This window comes from Homo sapiens, chromosome 4, assembly GCF_000001405.40.
Source record: "Homo sapiens chromosome 4, GRCh38.p14 Primary Assembly".
NCBI classification, from domain to species: domain Eukaryota; kingdom Metazoa; phylum Chordata; class Mammalia; order Primates; family Hominidae; genus Homo; species Homo sapiens.
Window position 1 is genome coordinate 86,052,169 of NC_000004.12, and position 20,560 is coordinate 86,072,728.

At 35.3% G+C, this 20,560-nt stretch overlaps 1 protein-coding gene across 10 annotated transcripts in view; it reads right to left on the reverse strand.

Annotated features, from left to right (window-relative positions):
• The window catches only part of MAPK10 (mitogen-activated protein kinase 10), a 583,670-nt gene that overhangs the window by 41,764 nt on the left and 521,346 nt on the right, over window positions 1–20,560 (reverse strand). For all 10 annotated transcript variants that reach the window (XM_047415964.1, NM_002753.6, NM_138982.4 and 7 more), the window contains 2 exons: window positions 15,605–15,787; window positions 12,098–12,222 (listed from right to left, as the gene is read on the reverse strand). In XM_047415964.1, the coding sequence (XP_047271920.1) occupies window positions 12,098–12,222; window positions 15,605–15,787 (308 nt within the window). The remainder of the gene's footprint in view (window positions 1–12,097; window positions 12,223–15,604; window positions 15,788–20,560) is intronic.

The following is a 20,560-nucleotide window of genomic DNA, read 5'->3' on the forward strand; positions in this document are numbered from 1 at the left end:
CCTTAAAAAAAGTAGGACTTTTACAGATGAAAGAGCATTTTAATACAAATTTTAAAATTACCCGAAGACAATAAATTATTTCCTAAAACGTGTATTAAATCTTTTTGTTATGTCTATAAATGATAATCTAGTCTAAGAGTAACTTATCAGCATTTTTGCAGTCCCCTCCCCCCATCCACTGAAAACTTTCTTTACTAGACTCATGATTTTCAAAATTTTAAGAATTAAATTTGGAGTAAAGGAACTCCGAAGATCTGAAAAAGCCTGTGAACTGGATGTCCAGAAAGATGTAAATACATAATTATTGATAGAAAATTTTGGGATGTTTTTCAAAAGCCCCCAGAAGTTCCTCTAAGGAACCCTTAGGGGTCATAGGAAAGCTCAGTGCTGGGTAGTGAGCTCCTAAGAGCAGAGAAATGCCCTCCTGTGTGCATCTCTAGATCTGGTACAGTTTCAGCATTCATAGGGGTGCTATAAACATTTGTTACGTTGAATCATGGAGGATAAGTATGTATATACTCGGGTGTTGTTGTTGCTGTTGTTTGAGATAGAGTCTTCCTCTGTCACCTAGGCTGGAGTGCTGTGGTGCAATCTTGGTTCACTGCAAACTCCGCCTCCCAGGTTTAAGCCATTCTCCCACCACAGCCTCCCAAGTAGCTAGTGTAAGCCACCATGCCTGGCTAATTTTTGTATCTTTAGTAGAGACGGGATTTCGCTATGCTGCCCAGGCTGGTCTCAAACTCCTGAGTTCAAGTGATCCACCCGCCTTGGCCTCCCAAAGTGCTAGGATTACAGGCCTGAGCCACTGTGCCTGGAGGGTATTTTTTTTTTAAAAAGAAGAATGTAGTATTTAAAAGTTCATCATGCAATTAAACCTCATTGATTTTGAGAGCAAAGGAGCAAAGAAAAATCTGGCAAATAGCAAACCTACTACTTAAAGTAAACCTTTAGGAACTTAAGCAGGGCTGCTCACCAAATAATTCTGCTGGGTACAGAACTGATGTGGCCTTTAAATTACAGAGTTTATGTATAATAATTAACATCCAGGCCTTGCAGAAAACAATATTACCTCTGCAGAGCATATCATTTTCTTTATTGATAAATGCTCTTTACTGAAAACACAATGATATGAGGATGGGTAGGAGTGCCTTAGAGCTCTCCTTGAACATGTATACACAGTGGTTAAGAGGAGATTCTTTGATGATGGACAAAAATTCAAGTCTAGTTTGATTGTTTTAGCAACATTACAGGTAAGCAAACAAGGCAGGAATGCAAATTACCAAAAGAGTTATGCTTCCTAGAGATTCCCCAATTTTGTAGCCTCTACTTATCTCGAGGCAAAGCTGTCTGACAGAGATTCTGTCTTCTGACATACTCCTATTCTTTTCTCTTTTTTATTCTTCCTCTTAGTATAAAATTTGGTAAATTTTAGTTAACAGAACATCTCACAAGTTCCCACCCTGACTTCTTTGCTTATTTCATAGAAGGAATCCTAAAAAAGAAAAATATATATTTTTTTCTCCCACAGTTTATGGATTACATCCTATGCAGATGACACGTTGGATAATCTCTTTTTTTCCAGGATGAAACATATTAAGAAAATAAAATACACTCTCACAAATGCCCACTACCTCAAGATAAATAGGTAGATCTCACAATATCTCAGATATCACCTAGGAGAGAAGAAATAAAATCAAGTATTTGGAAGAACCTGACAGAATACCTTAGCCATACCTCAGCCTTTCAGAGAGCAACAGGCATGAAATGTTTTAGAAAAATAATTTCTGTTCCCTTCCCCCTTTTCATAAAGTATTCTCTCTCAGTGATCCATTCAAAAGATTAATAGCACTCATGGTCTAAAGTGTTCAAGATAAAACATGAAAACAAAAACCAAAGCATGGATTCTACTAGACAACAAAACATGTCTCTCCTAAGAATGAACAATTCAACCATTCCAGCTTTTCACACCTGAGAATCTTGGATTCAGTGGATTCTGAATATCCCAATGAATTAAAATTAAGATGAACCTTTCTCTTCAGGAATAGAACTTGCTAAAATTAGAGATAAATGAGTTACATATTTTCAGTGAAATACATATTCCTATTATAAGTCATATAGGGAGTGAGGCTCCTAAAAGCAGGTGGCTAACTCTATCTACAACAAACATTTTGACAAGCTCCCACCAACATAATACATGGCATCAAAACAATCCGAAGGCAATTCAAACGATAGCTTCACGTTAAGCAGCTGAGGCACTGGGCAAGCAAAATCTAATGAAGCTATATTTTCTCTGGAAGGCAATTAGTAAACTGCTCATATTTTGCTGCTGAAAGAATACATCAGCATGAACAGATGGAAATTTAGAACTCCACAAATGGAATTACAGACATTGATTTAACTTTCCCCAAGCAAATGAAAACCACAAAATACGAATTGCTCTTTCTATAATTAAGCACATAATTAGAGTGCATCAGATTCATATCCATTGTAGCTCATATTTCTTCCTCCTCATTTCTAAATTTATATATATTCTGAGTCTAACAAACCTACTTAGAGTTCAACTCCACACTGAAAGAGTCTTCTATGACAGATAGATGGTACTAAACTATTTCTCAAATTAAGCCTGCCATGGGTCACACTAGCTTTTTCACAGCATGACACATGCGGCAATAATAAGAAATCCAAAGACTCAAAGAGGTAGTCCTTGTGGCAGGACAGATGGAGAGAACAGCTGAGGGAGGAATTCAGCCAGTTTATTAACTCCATGTGAGTAGAACAAATCATATTTAAAAGAATTCATAAGGACATCTGGTCGAAAAACAGAATTTAAATGATGGCAGTTTTAGAATGGAGAAAAGAGAATCATGATGTCTCACAGTACAATATCACTGAGTTACCTCTTTGTTTTTCTACTTCCAGGAAACAAAAGGTCACCAGTGACCTGCACACAGATTATAGACCAAACTGGTGATGGGCACTTGGGAAATACTTGGACTAATTGTCAAGTTTAAAATATACAAGAAATACTAAAACATATTATGGAAATAAAATCACTAACATGCTAAACATTACAGATACTTGAAATTATTCACATTGTTAATTATTCTTTTCCTCATTCTAGGATACAGTAGTTTGTCTTACTTGTGAAAATATTTAGGGGAACTTAGATAAAATTTTTGTTTGATATTCCTAAAATGCTAGAAATGACCTCAGAAATCTTTTTGAGAATAAGCCCTTTATAAAAACCTCCAAATAGGTCTTTCCTGAGAAAACTCAATTGATGTGCTTTATCAAGTATAATAGTATGTTTCATTTATAAGCTTTCCAAGTTGAAATCCAAAGTAATAAGCATGTTTCAAAAAAAATCTAAACAAGTAAAAATGGGGAAACTTACTAAAACTGTGCACACATATATAGCATCAAGAAATAAACTAGCAGTAAAATCCAAGGTCATATTCAGTGTGATAGGCACTGCAGATCTTTTCTATTAATAAAAAGCAACAGAGGCTTTTTCTACCCATGAAATGTTTTTTTAAAAGAGCTTTCTTATTATTTTAGTGAAATGAAGTTTTTCCTTCTTAATAAAAATTTTCAAATTTCTACCAAAAAAAATCCTTAAGTAACTCAAGTTTTGCAGTTTATGCTTATTTAAATATTTGATAGGTATTTTCTGCCACTTGAGAGTTGCTATTAAATTTTATATAATAAACTTCACTTGCAAACTGACTTCCTTCTCAGACAAATCAAATGACAGCAAACAAAAATAATGCCTATTAACTATTTTAAGTACATTACTGTACCCTGTGGGGAAAATCAGGAAACAAAAACTGTAGTTTCAGAATTTCAGATGGATTAGTTATTCAGAAATTGTCTTGAGGACATGCCCTAACCTTTTGATATCACTCATCAAAGGAAAATGTGACTCACAAAGACTTTAATCCCCTTTCCTCCCAACGGGAGATACAGTCTGTATAGAGAGCTGTTTGCATTTATAACTCACTTAAATCATGTCTTCCAGATACTTCAGGTTTAACTCACAGTGCTACACTCAAACTAACCAATTTAATAAAAGGATTATAAAATATTTGAAGCAAACTTATGCATATTTTATTCAATGGTTTATCTCCAAACAGTAGATATCTACTGATGAACTATTTGAACATTAGATGCATCAAATTCATATTCATTGTAGCTCATATTTTTCCTTATCATTCCTAAATTCATATATACTGAGTCTAACAAAGTACATTGCTTCTAGTTATAATCAAATATATTTATAAGTCTATTCTTCACCATGTTGTTTCAGGAATTTATTATGGATTCAAGAGAATTCAGTAAAAGACAACTGGTTAAGCCACAGTTAATAAAGGTAGAAACAATGCAAACAAGAACTCATTCATGGAGTAGATTTAATAGAGCAAGTAACACAGGATATTCATAATCAAATGATATTAGCTTTTACAGTAAAAATGTATTTGAGAGAATTAAAAGTCAGTGATAATAAGGAATGAGAATAACTCCTTCCCATCATCCTCAGTCATGTGAACTATGCTCAAAGGCTTCAGATGGTCAATAAATTAATACATGAATCTTTAAAATATAAATTAAATATTTTTATTTAGTTGCTATAGTAAATAGAAAGATTTAATTTATAGTTTAAAGATTGTATACTTTTATGTTTAGTATAGCAACTTTAGGATTCTTTGGTTTTCAGTAATAATCTATGCATTTGGGTAACCAAACTTAGTCAGCTTGGTCAGGACTTTTTTGTTTATTTATTTTATTTTATTTTATTTTATTTTATTTATTTTTTTTAAGACGGTCTCACTCTGTCTCCCAGGCTGGAGTGCAGTGGTGCGATCTCGGCTCACTGCAACTTCTGTCTCCCGGGTTCAAGCGATTCTCCTGCCTCAGCCTTCCCAGTACCTGGCACTACAGGTGGCTAATTTTTGTATTTTTAGTAGAGATGGGGTTTTGCCGTGTTGGCCAGGCCCAAACTCCTGATATCAAGTGATCCACCCGCCTTGGCATCCCAAAGTGCTGGGATTACAGGTGTGAGCCACTGTGCCCAGCAGGACATTATTTTATATTCAGTCAAATAATAGTTTAAAAATCATAGCTAAAAGTGGATAAGCATAACTTGTTAATTATGATTCAAAGCAGTTGATGCACATCTGGTTGAAGATTAGCAGATTCTCACTGCAGTTTAGTTATAACTGATTAACATTTCAAGGGACATAGGATTTCAGATTCTACAGTCAGGAAACCATACACCAAACAAGTTAAATAATCAAGTAAGGTAGATAATTCATATTTGGAGGAGTTTATTTTGTTTCTTCAGGAGATGATAAGTTATCAAAGATTCTCATTCAATAGAAATTGCTATTAACTATTAGAAACCTACCAAGAACAATAAAAGCAGGGACCTGTTTTTTTTTCATTTTTTGTTTAAAAATTCAATGCTGAATCACTATCATCTAGGTCAGTGTGGAACACAAAGTGTGGGTTCAGTCAATATTTATAGAATAAGTGAATAAATACTAAACTGTTAACAAATAGTCAAAGCTTATGTGAATAACTCTGTTGGATAAAAAAGAGAAAAGGGTAAGAAGTGAAGAAGAGATAAAAAAGGAAGAAATAAAAAAGAGGTGAGTGAGAGGAAAGTGAAAAGTTCTTTCCTAGTGAAAGAGGTCTTTCCTATGGCAGCAGAAGAGTAGATTTACAGCAACCTAAAAGAAAACAGATGGCTGAATCCTTTCACTCCCCTTACGTACATGTGGTCCAACATTGTCTCAACAAGACTGTAGCCCTACAACCAACAATCGAAAGAGTGACATCAACACATAAAAGGAAGGAAGTGCACATTCAGTGGAAACCCCAATGAGAAATACGCTTCTGCCAAGACTATCAGGTTGGTATAGTACTTGCGATGTCTTGGCAAGAAATCATGAAATACTTGAAGAAATTAAATAATTATTAGGGGGATGCTTACTTCACTTTACTAGGGGAGGTCCTTGAGTACCTCTTCTAACATCTAAAGTCTTCTCCTCTCCAGAGGAATTGTGCTCCGTTCCCTGGTTACTTCTCCTTTACTTAGGGATTTCAGAATTGTGAATAAGGAAAGAATGACCTGGTAAGTGCCAGCCCTGGACACATTTGCCCACAGATGCTGTCCTCCCCCTTTCTTTAGTTGCTCTTTTTCTCAGGGGGCTGGACTCTATTAGGCCATATTTCCCAGATTTGTCTGTCAGTTGCCTTAGGGTTGGTCTCAGCCAATAGGAGGGAGATATCACCAGGAGACAGAGGGGAGAATCTAGGCCATTTCTCCCCACCCTTTTCTCTAGAAGCAGCTGTATCTTACCTGTGTTAGTGACTCTAGCTCCCATTGGACAGGCCATTACTACCTGGGCTCCAGTAAATCGCCCCCTAGCTCTCAGGTTGGTAGTGGCTTCCCATTTTTGCTTATCTCTGTGTTGGTCCAAGAGTGTCTGCTTTTGACTTCTGCATTGCAATATGAGAACATCCTTATCTCTGACACCTTTAAATACCCCTTAGGGTCTCATCTACTTAGATCTCTGATCTTAGACCACATGTCTCTCCTGACTACCCAGCTGGTCTTGACTGCTTGGCCTACATATCTGCATCAGCTGTCTCTCTGGAATGCCCAGATCAAGCTCTGGAACCTGTTCTACTTTGACCACAGGCTTCTGATTCCCTTCTCTCTTTCTTCTGATCCCATCTAGCTCTATTCCATTCACTTCATCATGGTTGCTGGTCCTATAGCTGCTCAAAGTTGAAAAGTTGCTACTCTGAATGCTGATGTTTGCTGAACTGCAGGACAAAACCACTCTATAATTATCTCTAAGTTCCCACTTCAGATTTACCTTGAATAGATTTTAGGCATAATAGGCATACACAATATCAAAGTTTACATATTTGTGTCACAAGAAGATTAAAAATAAAGTATATTTCCCACATGATTGGTCATCCCTTCCATGCATCCTCTTTGGTAATATCCAGTAAGATATAATGGCAGACAAGAAGATGGATAAAATAATGTCAGATAGTAACTCTGCTCACAGGGCATGGAATCTATGATGGCCTTGTAATAAAATAGCTTAATATAGCCAGGTTAACTTGTTTCTATAAATTCTTTCACCGTAGGCAAAAATAACATAATCCCTAAAGTAGTGAACTAGTAAATAATAATAATTAAGCATTTAAGACCCTCTTAATCACTTTACATTATAAACAAACAGTAAATGTGTAATAGTGTTGACTATTCTGGGCTCATGTTTCTTAAGTGTTTATTTTAATTGAACTTCAGCACTAATACATGTAACTGTTACTCTGTTTCCCAGGTTATACTCTCCCTGGGAATCTGAAGATCATGTTGTTTAATTCAGGATCTGTATCGGTAGATTAAATTCCCACCCAACCCTGTCCCAATTCCCAAATTAATCTTGAGTTAGGTGAAAAAATAACAAGCAAGCTCAGCACTGGCCCTGTTTACCAAATCACCTTCCAGCCAAATTGGTTGAATTAGTTACACCTTTTCTCTTAGTCTAGTGGAGGATGTCGTGTGTCCTTAGATTCCCAAACAAAACATGCCCGCTCTCTCTCTGTGGTCTACATTATAGCTGGAGTACAATTTCCAGGCCTCATTTCCAGCATTCTCTTCTGGAACTTTCATTTGGCTGCCACACAGAAGGCCCTATGTTTCCTGCCAGCTGTCCTCTGGGTTCTCAAGTACCCCAGGTTCACCTACTAGAGAAAAGAATTCCAAAATGCCAGCTGCCCAAGCAGCTCTACCTGCCTCTCTGCCCTGATTCCCAGAGTAAGGTTTCAGCCATTAAGAACTGTCTCTGGGCATCTCTGAAACACAGCCTTCAACACAATGGTCTATCTGGTTGATCACCACTGGCCATGAAGCTTGGCCTCAACGCCTGTCCCATCTTAGGGGATGGTTCTAATCTCAGGTCTAGCTCCTTCCTTTTAGTCAAGAATTGAGGAATCATGAAGTGTTCTCTGACTCCATATGTTTGTACTAGGCTTCTTCATGATGATTTATTTGAGTTTTGATGTACTTGGTTTTGGCTGAACTCACATCTCCCTCTCCTGCTCCCTCTCCCTATGCCCTTGCAAGGAACAAGAACTACAAAATGGAGCCTTTTGTAAGGCCGTTGCACTCAGGAGCTTTCTTGAAGTGCTCTGAAATTTCTGGCAGAAATAAAGCTATTTAAAAAAAATAGTTACAGCTTATGTTCCTCTTCTTCTGTGCCCTGAGAAATAGTTAATCAACTCTTCCTTAGCTTGGAGTTCACCCAGATGCTCCTTAAGGCTTATCTGTAGCTCCACTCTCAGTGGTAAAGCCACCACTGGATCCTAGCAGGGTGCCTAAACTCAGTAATGTGGTAAGAGATAAGGCAACAAAGCTTCATGAACATTGTATTTTCTTCCAACAGGGCACAAGGAAGATATTAAACTGAGTTCCCCCCAAAATCCCAAAAATCTCCTACTGATAATCAAGATTTGTGGAATCTATAATGTGTCTTTATTTTGGTTTAAACTAATGACACTAGATTTTCTTCTACCTGGCAAAGAAGAGGTAGGTATACATTAAACAAAAGAAAATGAAAAAAATGGACCTAAAATCATGTGGGAAATAGATCATTGTCATCATTGTTCAAAAAAGAAATGTTGTGGAATATTTCTGCAATTTCCTGGCCAGCTAGTCTTTTTCACCAGACGCATATATCTTTTTCAAATATCAAAAGATAGTAAAGCTATGCATGTAAAAGTCATAATAGTAATAGTAATTATAAGTATTATAAGGGTAAGAATAATTTACATGATTCTTACTGACTCCCAAGCATTTGCTAAGCACTTTAACTTTTCAAAATCTCAGAATGCTATGCTGTACATATGATAAGAAAGGAGAACTTTCTTAGTTTAGAAAACTGAGTTGCAGAAAGGTTAAGCAACTTGATCAAAGCAAATTAGTAATGGGAAGAGCAGAAATTTAAACCTAACTCATCTTTCATACCTATGAAGATGCAAATAAGTCAACCAATTACATTTGTGTGTAATATATTTGCCCTCTTGATGAATACTGAACCAGAGTTAGAGCATCTTCTATTTGTTTCATGAAAAAGCATTGACATTATACACGATTTGTGTGTTCTACTTTGAAATCACACTTTGTTACTCTAAACATTATTTGAATAAGAAGTTGCTAATAATTTGAGCAGTTATTTCAAAATATTTATGTACTATTACTACACAGATGGATTACTCTTGAGCTTGGCATCCAATTTTTAAAATTTTCTAACTCATGTGTACATGACTAATTTTCCCTCTCAGAATTATGACAACATTCATTCATATGCTCTTCTCTCTTGATTTTTGTACTTTGGTAGTTTGGGAAACATGATAAGATAGCTCGTAGTATAACTAATAGCTTAGCACACATAGCATATCTATACTCTTTTGACTTTTCCTCTAAATATCACCTTATCATAGTTTGTTCTTTATCCCCTATCCACTTGCCATTATTTCCATCCAATGAAACTTATTTTTCTTCTCTCTCATCTTTGAATTTCCTTCCCTCCCTAACAGCATGTGAGTTACTTGAAAGCTCTTTGATCAGAATAAAAATCCCAATTATTTGATACTTCCATTTATTTGGATTATAAAGACATACGGGGGTATATTTTGCAAAACAGTCTTGTCAGCCCCGGCAGAAGATATATCACTATATTATAGCTTTGCCATGTGTCCATAGAGAAAGGTTATCTTATGTTAAACACATGTTCATATGCAATAACAGAGACATGAATTCTAAGGATATTGCAGAAAGCATAGCTGACTACTGATTCTAGCACCTTCAGGATCTTTCTCTTCTTAGTTGTGACCACTGTAATGCACTTCATAGAGTAATAAATTGTTCTTGCCCTGGGATCATGATTCCCATCTCTTCACTACAACATGTCTAGATGTAAGACATGTTTACCCTTGTATAATCAATGATCTGAGTCTAGATGTCAAGTACTTGCTTGTTCTGTGCATTAACTGTCTTCTTTTTCTGGAACTGCAGGCTCTATCAGATCCTTCCCCTAAAATTCATACATCCTGCCTTGTTACTATCCGTGCCCCAGCATGACCAATATCAAAGTGGTTAAGAAAAAGGCTCCAGCTATTTTAGTATCCTAAATTTTATCTTTTCATTCTACAAAGAAGTTTTTCATAAAAAGTTAAAATAAATTTAAAAACTCATTGATACTATTCAGTAAGATGTTATAGATTCCAAGCAACTATCTCTTTTATAGGCAACATAATTAAAAGTGAATTACAAATGCAGACTTTATGACTCTAATTAAACTCTAGGCCACAATGCATTAAAAACAGATTATACATATTAAGTTAGATATAAGAAAAAATAAATATGCCACATAGTGAGGCATAAGTTAATATGCCTCAAAATAAATGAGGAGAAACAATTTCAGATAATACATATTTATATAAAATGTTTATCAACATAACCTAAAATATTTTCTTGAATTTCATCAGAGATAAAATTTTTATACTTAATTTTTGTAAACATATACATCATACTTTCTCTCACTTACTTCACTACTTCATTCCATCCCAAGAACATCTGTGCAAGTATTTCCCAAGTGTGGGAGACTGGAAGAGGTTCTATATTTTGGTTGTAAGAATATATATTAATTTTTAGAACATTATAATTAAACTCAGAAATATTTAATTGTAGGGATATTATTTGGTAAGAATCAAATAAAATGACTAAAAATTAACTTGAGGCAACATGAAATCTCAACATCATTGTAAAACTAAGAGAGCAGATCTTAAACAAAATGTAGTGCAGTCTTCACACTTGGGAGATTCATTAATCACTTAAGTGTTTTCTCTGAAGTTTTTAAATGCTTAAAGATTGGGTTACATTATGAAAAGGACCTGTTTAATATTGTGTCTGTAAAGTTCAATTCTACCTAGTTCTCACTTTCTTTCGTATCTTCTCTAGTGAAGAATGAAGAAATGAGAATTATGTGTTTGAATCTAGCACCTCTGACATGGAAAAACACATGGTGAAGCAGAGGAAAGAAAACTGAAAGAAAGTGAAAATATCTTTAAGAATACTTTGGGGAAACAAACAGTATTTCAAATGAAAGATTAAGAACAAATCCAAACAAATGGATTGGAAGGTATTATGTAAAAAAATATGAGATGCTTTAGCACAGGTACTCTAAGAATTTGAGAAGCTTCTCATGTTTAAGGGAGAAGGTAACATTCCTGATAGAAACATTTAAAGGCAGTGCAGAAAGGAAATTCTCATCAGGAGGCCTATAGAACACACATGGGCAACAGCAAGCCCCCCTTGCCCTGCTCAGCCCTGGATCCATACAGAGGAAAGGAGAGAGGTAAAGATGAAAGAAAGAGGTTGAACAGAAGATAGTAAATGGTTGAAAAATATTTTTAAAATAGAAAGAGTTATGCTTCTGAGAAGATTCTCCATGTCTGGGTATCAGACATGGAGATACATCATACTGATCAACCTGAAGTAATGTACTTACTGAAATACCCACTTCTAGTTCATCTAGTTCATGCAAGGTTTCACAAAGCCACCAATCGTTTTAATCATCTTATAAAAGCTTTCTAATTGAAATATTCTTAAGTATCACATTTTACTAGTGGCAGGTATCTTTTCAAAAAAAAAATACAAGCTAAGCAACTTGTCCTCTGTTGTTTCCTACCACTAAGTTTGCATTAGAAGAGACTGGCAGTCAAACACACAAGAAGAAACACAAGTATTGGCAATTTAACAGAAACAAATGGTAGTGTATCATGGACATCTAAGGTTTGTAGGACTAAATCATACCCTCTTCTAGTAAGTCCTGAAAAAAATGTATTTAAAACATATGTTGAAGAAAATAGCTTTTAGAGGGGCAGATAATAGGCTTTGGACTTAGAAATTTTATAAAAATCCATTGTGCATTCTTTAGGCTTCTAGTCCTATTCAGTTTTTGCTATGAGCTATGATTTGTTTGTGGAAGCAAAGTAAAGGCAGCCTATTTCTTACCGCCTCCACTTCGGCTGGGTCATACCAGACGTTGATGTAGGGATGCTGTAAGGCGTCGTCCACTGATATTCTTTTTGCTGGGTCAATCACTAGCATCTTTGACAACAAGTCCCTGGCTTGGCTGGCTGAAACAATAAATGAGAAAAACAATTAGTAAGATTTTGATTTCAGTAAGGAAATTTGTCAGAGAGGAAATTTAAGAAAACAAAGTATGGAATAGTATCTTCCTTCCAAACATCAGGTAAATCCCTTGATGTGATGGAAAAGAAAATGCATTTTACACCTGTTTCTTTGTGTCTCTAAGCCTAAGGCTTCATTCTGAGGCTCTCCAAGGGTTGTAACACTTTGGGTATATAATTATTCACGCAAACTTCTTAGTAAAATGTATCAACCTGGAGAGTTTATGTAAGCAAAGTCATCTTCTTTGGTAACCTGCATGAATATAGGATAAACAGAATAAAGAGCACAGAGTGCAAATGCATGATGTTCAACAAATGTGTGGACGGCTGTTTGAAGTTAATCAACACGTGTGTCTCTATATTCTTATTTATACAACGGAATTATCAGAATTTTAGTATATAAATTGACTTAAGAGTTTGTATCATACAAATTTTTCTTTTCTTTTTGTTTTTGTTTATTTATTTATTTATTTATTTTTGAGACAGGGTATCCCTCTGTTGCCAGGCTGGAGTGTAGTGGAATGATCACAGCTCACTGCAGCCTGGAACTCCTGCGCTCAAAGGATCCTCCCATCCCAGCTTCCCGAGTAACTGGAACTACAGGCATGCACCACCATGCCTGGCTATTTTTTCTTTCTTTCTTTTTTTTTGTAAAGATAAGATCTCCCTACATTGCCCAAGCTGGTCTCGAACTCTGGGCTCAAAGATCCTCCCACCTCAGCCTCCCAAAATGCTGGGATTAAAGGAGTGAGCCACTGCTCCCAGCCACAAATTTCTTATATACATAAAAACAATCAAAGAATTGAAGTGATAGAAATAATATCATTCAACTACTGAATTTTATTTTAACATTCTGTAATCATCAGGTATTTTTAATCAATGGAATCATGACTTGATGAAATCCAGTAGTTAAAGACTGAAGCCAGTCTAATGCTACACCAGACACTAATGAGAAACTCTATATTATGTAAAGGTTATCATAATTAATTTTATGGTTGTGGGCAGTAACAGTTATAAAATTATATGGTGATAGCTATTTATTTAGTAAGATTGTTAAAAGACACATTAATTTTAACCTCTAAAAATATGTAAATTTTTTAAATTATTATACTTTAAGTTCTGGGATACATGTGCACAACATGCAGGTTTGTTACATAGGTATACACATGCCATAGTGGTTTGCTGCACCCACCAACCTGTCATCTACATTAGGTATTTCTCCTAAAGCTATCCCTCCCCTAGTCTTTTACATAAAGTTTTAACAGAAATGAATATCTCAAATCAATATTGTTACTCAACTGATCTGAAAGTTGAACCGTGAAAATATTCAGTTTATTCTAACTATATGGTAAAACATCAAATTAAAGATAACAAAATTTAAATGGATTTTTCAAAAAATCAACATAGATGACTCTGGATACATATCAATTTTTATTTAATCAATTTTTCAGATTAAAACAACTTGGCTAATTCTACAAATTTGAAAATTATATAAAATACAAAAATCAGGAAATAATATCTAACCCCACTAGCTAGAGGCAATGACTGTGATTATTGGCATATTTTTTCTAGTGCCGTTCATGTATTTTTCACGTAATATTAACCATACTATAGTTAAAATGTAGCAATTAATTTTTTACCTGTAAGTATTTTCTTGGTAATTACATCAATAAATATATCTTTTAATTTTCTGAACAAATATGAAAAATCACTAGTTAAACTTGAGAATTTTTTATTTCTATTAATCATTTTTCTGGGAAACTCAATCCTAGAAACTGATTATCATTACTTTCAAATTAAAACTCTGTACCGCACAGGAATAACAAAAATACAGAAATACTTATACATTAATTCAATATTTAATTTTTCTCATTGCCAATGGCCTCCTAATAGCCTAACAGGGCTGTGTTTATTTATTCATTGCTTTAAAGACCTCTTTAATTTGTAACTGATTTTACATCCAAATTCATGTACCATTCTCATAAGATTCTCTCATCAAATCTATCCATTTTTCTGCTCTTAGAAAGGGCTGGGGTTAGCCGGGCGTGGTCGTGGCTGACACCTGCAATCCCAGCACTTTGGAAGGCCGAGGCAGGCAGACCACGAAGTCAGGAGGTCGAGACGATCCTGGCTACCACGGTGAAACCCCATCTCTACTAAAAATACAAAAATTAGCTGGGCGTGGTGGCGGGCGCCTGTAGTCCCAGCTACTCGGGAGGTTGAGGCAGGAGAATGGAGTGAACCTGGGAGACGGAGCTTGCAGTGAGCCTAGATCGGTATCCCGGGCGACAGAGCGAGACTCTGTCTCAAAAAAAAAAAAAAAAAAAAAAAGAAAGGGCTGGGGTTACAATGGATTCTTCATGAATAGGGTCATGAACTACACCAATACAAAATCATCTTGCTAAGAAACAATACTATTTTTAGGAAACAATATGGGAAAATGTTTCAATGCTTTATCTTTCATTCTTTCATTTGAAAGCAAATGTGTTATGCTCTTTTCCAAACACAGTAGAATACATTCTTCTCTTTGGTTATTTGTATATTAAGATTATTTATAATTTGCCAATTTTATATTAAAAATTAAATTCAATAATCAAATATGCAAACTAGTTTATCATTTACAAACATAATTGCAGAGATTCAAATTGATTTAAAAAGTAAACTCAAGAAAATTGGAATTACATTATGAAGTATAATATATATCTATTTTTTGAGACGGAGTCTTGCTCACTCTATCTCTAGGCTGGAATGCAGTTGCCCGATCTCGGCTCACTGCAACCTCTTCCTCCTAGGTTCAAGCGACTCTCCTGCCTCAGCCTCCTGAGTAGCTGGGACTAGAGGTGTGTGCCACCATGCCCAGCTAATTTTTTTATATTTTTAGGAGAGACGCAGTTTCACCATGTTGGCCAGGATGGTCTGTCTCGATTTCCTGACCTCTTGATCCTCCCGCCTCCGCCTTCCAAAGTGCTGAGGTTACAGACTTGAGCCACCGCCCCCGGCCCTGAATATCCAGACAATTCTAAAATCCGTGGCTACTCCCCTTTGTAGGAACGATCTTTGAAGAAATATTTCTTTAACTTGAGGCTGTGCCAATTAAAGAATTGATCAATGTTTTAGGTGATGGGTTATGCTAATTGCTCTGATTTGACCATTATACCTCTATACATGTTTCAAAAATACCACCCTATATCCCACAAAAATGTACGATTATCATGTGTCAACTAAAAATAAAAGGGAACAAAGAGAAAGAGATAGAGGTCTCTATACTGTGTGCTTGTTTGGCCCGTCACCCTCATAGTTGTCCTCAAGTCATTCCTGAAGGGCATACCTTTGAGTTTATTGTGCTCGGAGTCCGCTGGGAAGAGGGAATCTGGGAAGAGTTTGGGGAAGGTGAGTCCCGCATACTTGGGCCGATTCTCCACATAGTTTCTTACTGTGGGTTGCAATTTCTTCATGAATTCTGGACATGGTGTTCCTAGTTGTTCAATTACCTTATTCCACTGGTCAATATCTGAGAATTGAACAGTTAAGGGAAAAAAGAAGAGCAGACCACTAGCCTTTCAACAATTGGGAGACTAACTCTTCTCAAAGTCCTCAACAGTCATTAATGCAACTGTAGTTTTAATAAGCAACAAAGAATGAAAATATAAAATCAGACTTGCAGGCTATGAGTCTTCTTGAAATTTTAAATTCACTTTTGAAACTTATATACTTTTGGAAAACTAGCAATTATTTAACAAAATAAGATATCATGAAATAGTCTTTGGGGTGTACAGATAAAAAGTCATTCAGATAACACAAGATGAATCTCATATTCTGCAGATAAACTTCTATATAAATCATGTGATTCAGAAGAAAAATATATAATGACACATCATAGTGACATTTTTATCCTGAAGTTACCTCAATTATTTATATTTTTAAAATGACAAATACACAAATATTTTAGATTATATTCATTTACATTTTCCTAAACTATCTTTAAGATATTTTTTCTTCTCTAAAAATCTGGAATTTTTTTCTATTTTTATGCATATCAACATAACTTTTATAGTAAAACAACTCATTAGTTCTTTGTCAGATTCCTAAAAATCATATTTATTAAACAAAGAAGCCACCTATTTCATACCTATTGTTTTACTGATGATATCACTGAATATTGTTTTCAATGAAATATAAGGGTGAACAGAGGAATATTCAATTTAAAACAACAGATTTCTATCCAAGTACATCCAAGTTTAGAAAGTACATTAAGCATGGGGAATACCACAGAAAAAATATTACCTCTCTATGAAAATTAATACCCTTTTAAATTGGAGCTAGCTCTTTTTGCAGACATACTCAATGATTGAGATTCTCTTTTTTATCTGTCATTAATATTCGATATATCAGAGCCTTGATAATGATAAACACCATCTACTCTGAAGAACCAACTGGAAACAACTGATTTAAACAGATTTCCTCGCCATGTGCCAGTGAATAATAGAGATCTTGGAAATTCCCTTAAATCCAATACTGCAAGCAGTATTCTCTCCTACATTGCTTATTCTTCTACAACTGTTCTTTGGTGTTAAGTTAGTTAACTCATTTCCACTAAGGTAAGGTGTGACAGTTAAGGGACTCTTACCATAATATTACTTAGTTGAAGTTTGTCAAGTCTTTACTCCTAGCTATTCAAGAGGTTTGGACTGAAAAAGATTGTCAGTCCTGATTAAAGATAAACTTAACTGTATTCAACAAAAAGAAATATATAATACAAACAGTAGATAGGAGATTGAACAAAGATAAAATCAAACTAATTTGCAAATCCTTTTCTTCATCTCTATAATCTGGCTGAATAAAACTTAAATTATTACATATTCTGTCAGTTATTGGAATAAAAAATATATAACCATGGACTATGAAGATATGAAATGAAGGTGGGAAAAACAATAATATTCCTTAATAAAGCAGTAGTAATAATTAAACAAGAACATGCTTTGATAGAAGCTCATCTAATTATCATGTGCATGAGAAAATACAGCAGTAATTCAGAATCACTAGAAATAATGAAACTAAAACATTATATAAGGTTAGAGTTACAAATTACTCTTAGACATGAGCCTGTATTAATACTATGGATATAGGTAAGCTATAAGTACTTAGACATACTTAAATAGAATACATTAGTGTAGTTAAATAAAACCTAAGTGCTTGTCATTATAAATTATGAAGAGACATTTTTTAAACAGTTAGGTTAGCATGCCCTACCAAGCTATCATTTCATCATTGATCAAACTTCCTCAAAATTCTAACCACTCGATGTCAAACTTAAAATAGAGGCAAAGAAGATGTCAGATTTTCTGTAAATAAGTCATTTAACAAAGTTGGCAAAATAATCCCAACACAGTATTATATCCTAATTACATTTGCTATAATTATAAAGATATACAGTAAATAATTGATTTTAAAGAAGTACTCCCAAAACAAAAAAAACTGATACTTTTATATTAAAGTTTAAGGAGAGTCAGATATTCTGGAATTTGTTAAATAAGAATTGTTAAAATGTTTCTTGTAATAAATCATAATTAGAATCTAGAGACACACTCAGCGCTCTTTCCTACCTTAGGTTGCTTTTAAATGAAACACTGTTGTGATTCTTGATGCAATGGTTTACAAAAAGAAGGGTGGCAAAAATCTTTATCATTGTCAATGAAATAGTTAAATGTTCATACTGCAAATCTGAGTTACAGTGATCTTTAAAAGTCTGTGTCTTTATTTTAACCAATCCATTTCAAGATTTTTCTTCCCAAAAACATATGTGTGTGTATATCTACATATGGTAAGTACTTGTTTTCTAGATGTTCATAGAATACAAACATGAACAACTATGTCCAATTTAGTTGAGCACATGATTTTTCTTTCTTTTTTTTTTTGTAGCACTTGAAGGGCTTTATTTTTTTTTCTTTTTCTTTTTTTTATTATACTTTAAGTTTTAGGGTACATGTGCACATTGTGCAGGTTAGTTACATATGTATACATGTGCCATGCTGGTGCGCTGCACCCACTAACTCGTCATCTAGCATTAGGTATATCTCCCAATGCTATCCTTCCCCCCTCCCCCCACCCCACCACAGTCCCCAGAGTGTCATATTCCCCTTCCTGTGTCCATGTGATCTCATTGTTCAATTCCCACCTATGAGTGAGAATATGCGGTGTTTGGTTTTTTGTTCTTGCAATAGTTTACTGAGAATGATGATTTCCAGTTTCATCCATGTCCCTACAAAGGACATGAACTCATCATTTTTTATGGCTGCATAGTATTCCATGGTGTATATGTGCCACATTTTCTTAATCCAGTCTATCATTGTTGGACATTTGGGTTGGTTCCAAGTCTTTGCTATTGTGAATAATGCCATAATAAAAATACGTGTGCATGTGTCTTTATAGCAGCATGATTTATAGTCATTTGGGTATATACCCAGTAATGGGATGGCTGGGTCAAATGGTATTTCTAGTTCTAGATCCCTGAGGAATCGCCACACTGACTTCCACAATGGTTGAACCAGTTTACAGTCCCACCAACAGTGTAAAAGTGTTGCTATTTCTCCACATCCTCTCCAGCACCTGTTGTTTCCTGACTTTTTAATGATTGCCATTCTAACTGGTGTGAGATGGTATCTCATAGTGGTTTTGATTTGCATTTCTCTGATGGCCAGTGATGATGAGCATTTTTTCATGTGTTTTTTGGCTGCATAAATGTCTTCTTTTGAGAAGTCTCTGTTGATGACCTTCGCCCACTTTTTAATGGGGTTGTTTGTTTTTTTCTTGTAAATTTGTTTGAGTTCATTGTAGATTCTGGATATTAGCCCTTTGTCAGATGAGTAGGTTGCGAACATTTTCTCCCATTTTGTAGGTTGCCTGTTCACTCTGATGGTAGTTTCTTTTGCTGTGCAGAAGCTCTTTAGTTTAATTAGATCCCATTTGTCAATTTTGTCTTTTGTTGCCGTTGCTTTTGGTGTTTTGGACATGAAGTCCTTGCCCATGCCTATGTCCTGAATGGTAATGCCTAGGTTTTCTTCTAGGGTTTTTATGGTTTTAGGTCTAACGTTTAAGTCTTTAATCCATCTTGAATTGATTTTTGTATAAGGTGTAAGGAAGGGATCCAGTTTCAGCTTCCTACATATGGCTAGCCAGTTTTCCCAGCACCATTTATTAAATAGGGAATCCTTTCCCCATTGTTGTTTTTCTCAGGTTTGTCAAAGATCAGATAGTTGTAGGTATGCGGCGTTATTTCTGAGGGCTCTGTTCTGTTCCATTGATCTATATCTCTGTTTAGGTACCAGTACCATGCTGTTTTGGTTACTGTAGCCTTGTAGTATAGTTTGAAGTCAGGTAGTGTGATTCCTCCAGCTTTGTTCTTTTGGCTTAGGATTGACTTGGCAATGCGGGCTCTTTTTTGGTTCCATATGAACTTTAAAGTAGTTTTTTCCAATTCTGTGAAGAAAGGCATTGGTAGCTTGATGGGGATGGCATTGAATCTGTAAATTACCTTGGGCAGTATGGCCATTTTCACGATATTGATTCTTCCTACCCATGAGCATGGAATGTTCTTCCATTTGTTTGTATCCTCTTTTATTTCCTTGAGCAGTGGTTTGTAGTTCTCCTTGAAGAGGTCCTTCACATCCCTTGTAAGTTGGATTCCTAGGTCTTTTATTCTCTTTGAAGCAATTGTGAATGGGAGTTCACTCTTGATTTGGCTCTCTGTTTGTCTGTTGTTGGTGTATAAGAATGCTTGTGATTTTTGTACATTGATTTTGTATCCTGAGACTTTGCTGAAGTTGCTTATCAGCTTAAGGATATTTTGGGCTGAGACGATGGGGTTTTCTAGATATACAATCATGTCGTCTCCAAACAGGGACAATTTGACTTCCTCTGTTCCTAATTGAATACCGTTTATTTCCTTCTCCTGTCTAATTGCCCTGGCCAGAACTTCCAACACTATGTTGAATAGGAGTGGTGAGAGAGGGCATCCCTGTCTTGTGCCAGTTTTCAAAGGGAATGCTTCCAGTTTTTGCCCATTCAGTATGATATTGGCTGTGGGTTTGTCATAGATAGCTCTTATTATTTTGAAATACGTCCCATCAATACCTAATTTATTGAGAGTTTTTAGCATGAAGGGTTGTTGAATTTTGTCAAAGGCTTTTCCTGCATCTATTGGGATAATCATGTGGTTTTTGTCTTTGGCTCTGTTTATATGCTGGATTACATTTATTGATTTGCGTATATTGAACCAGCCTTGCAT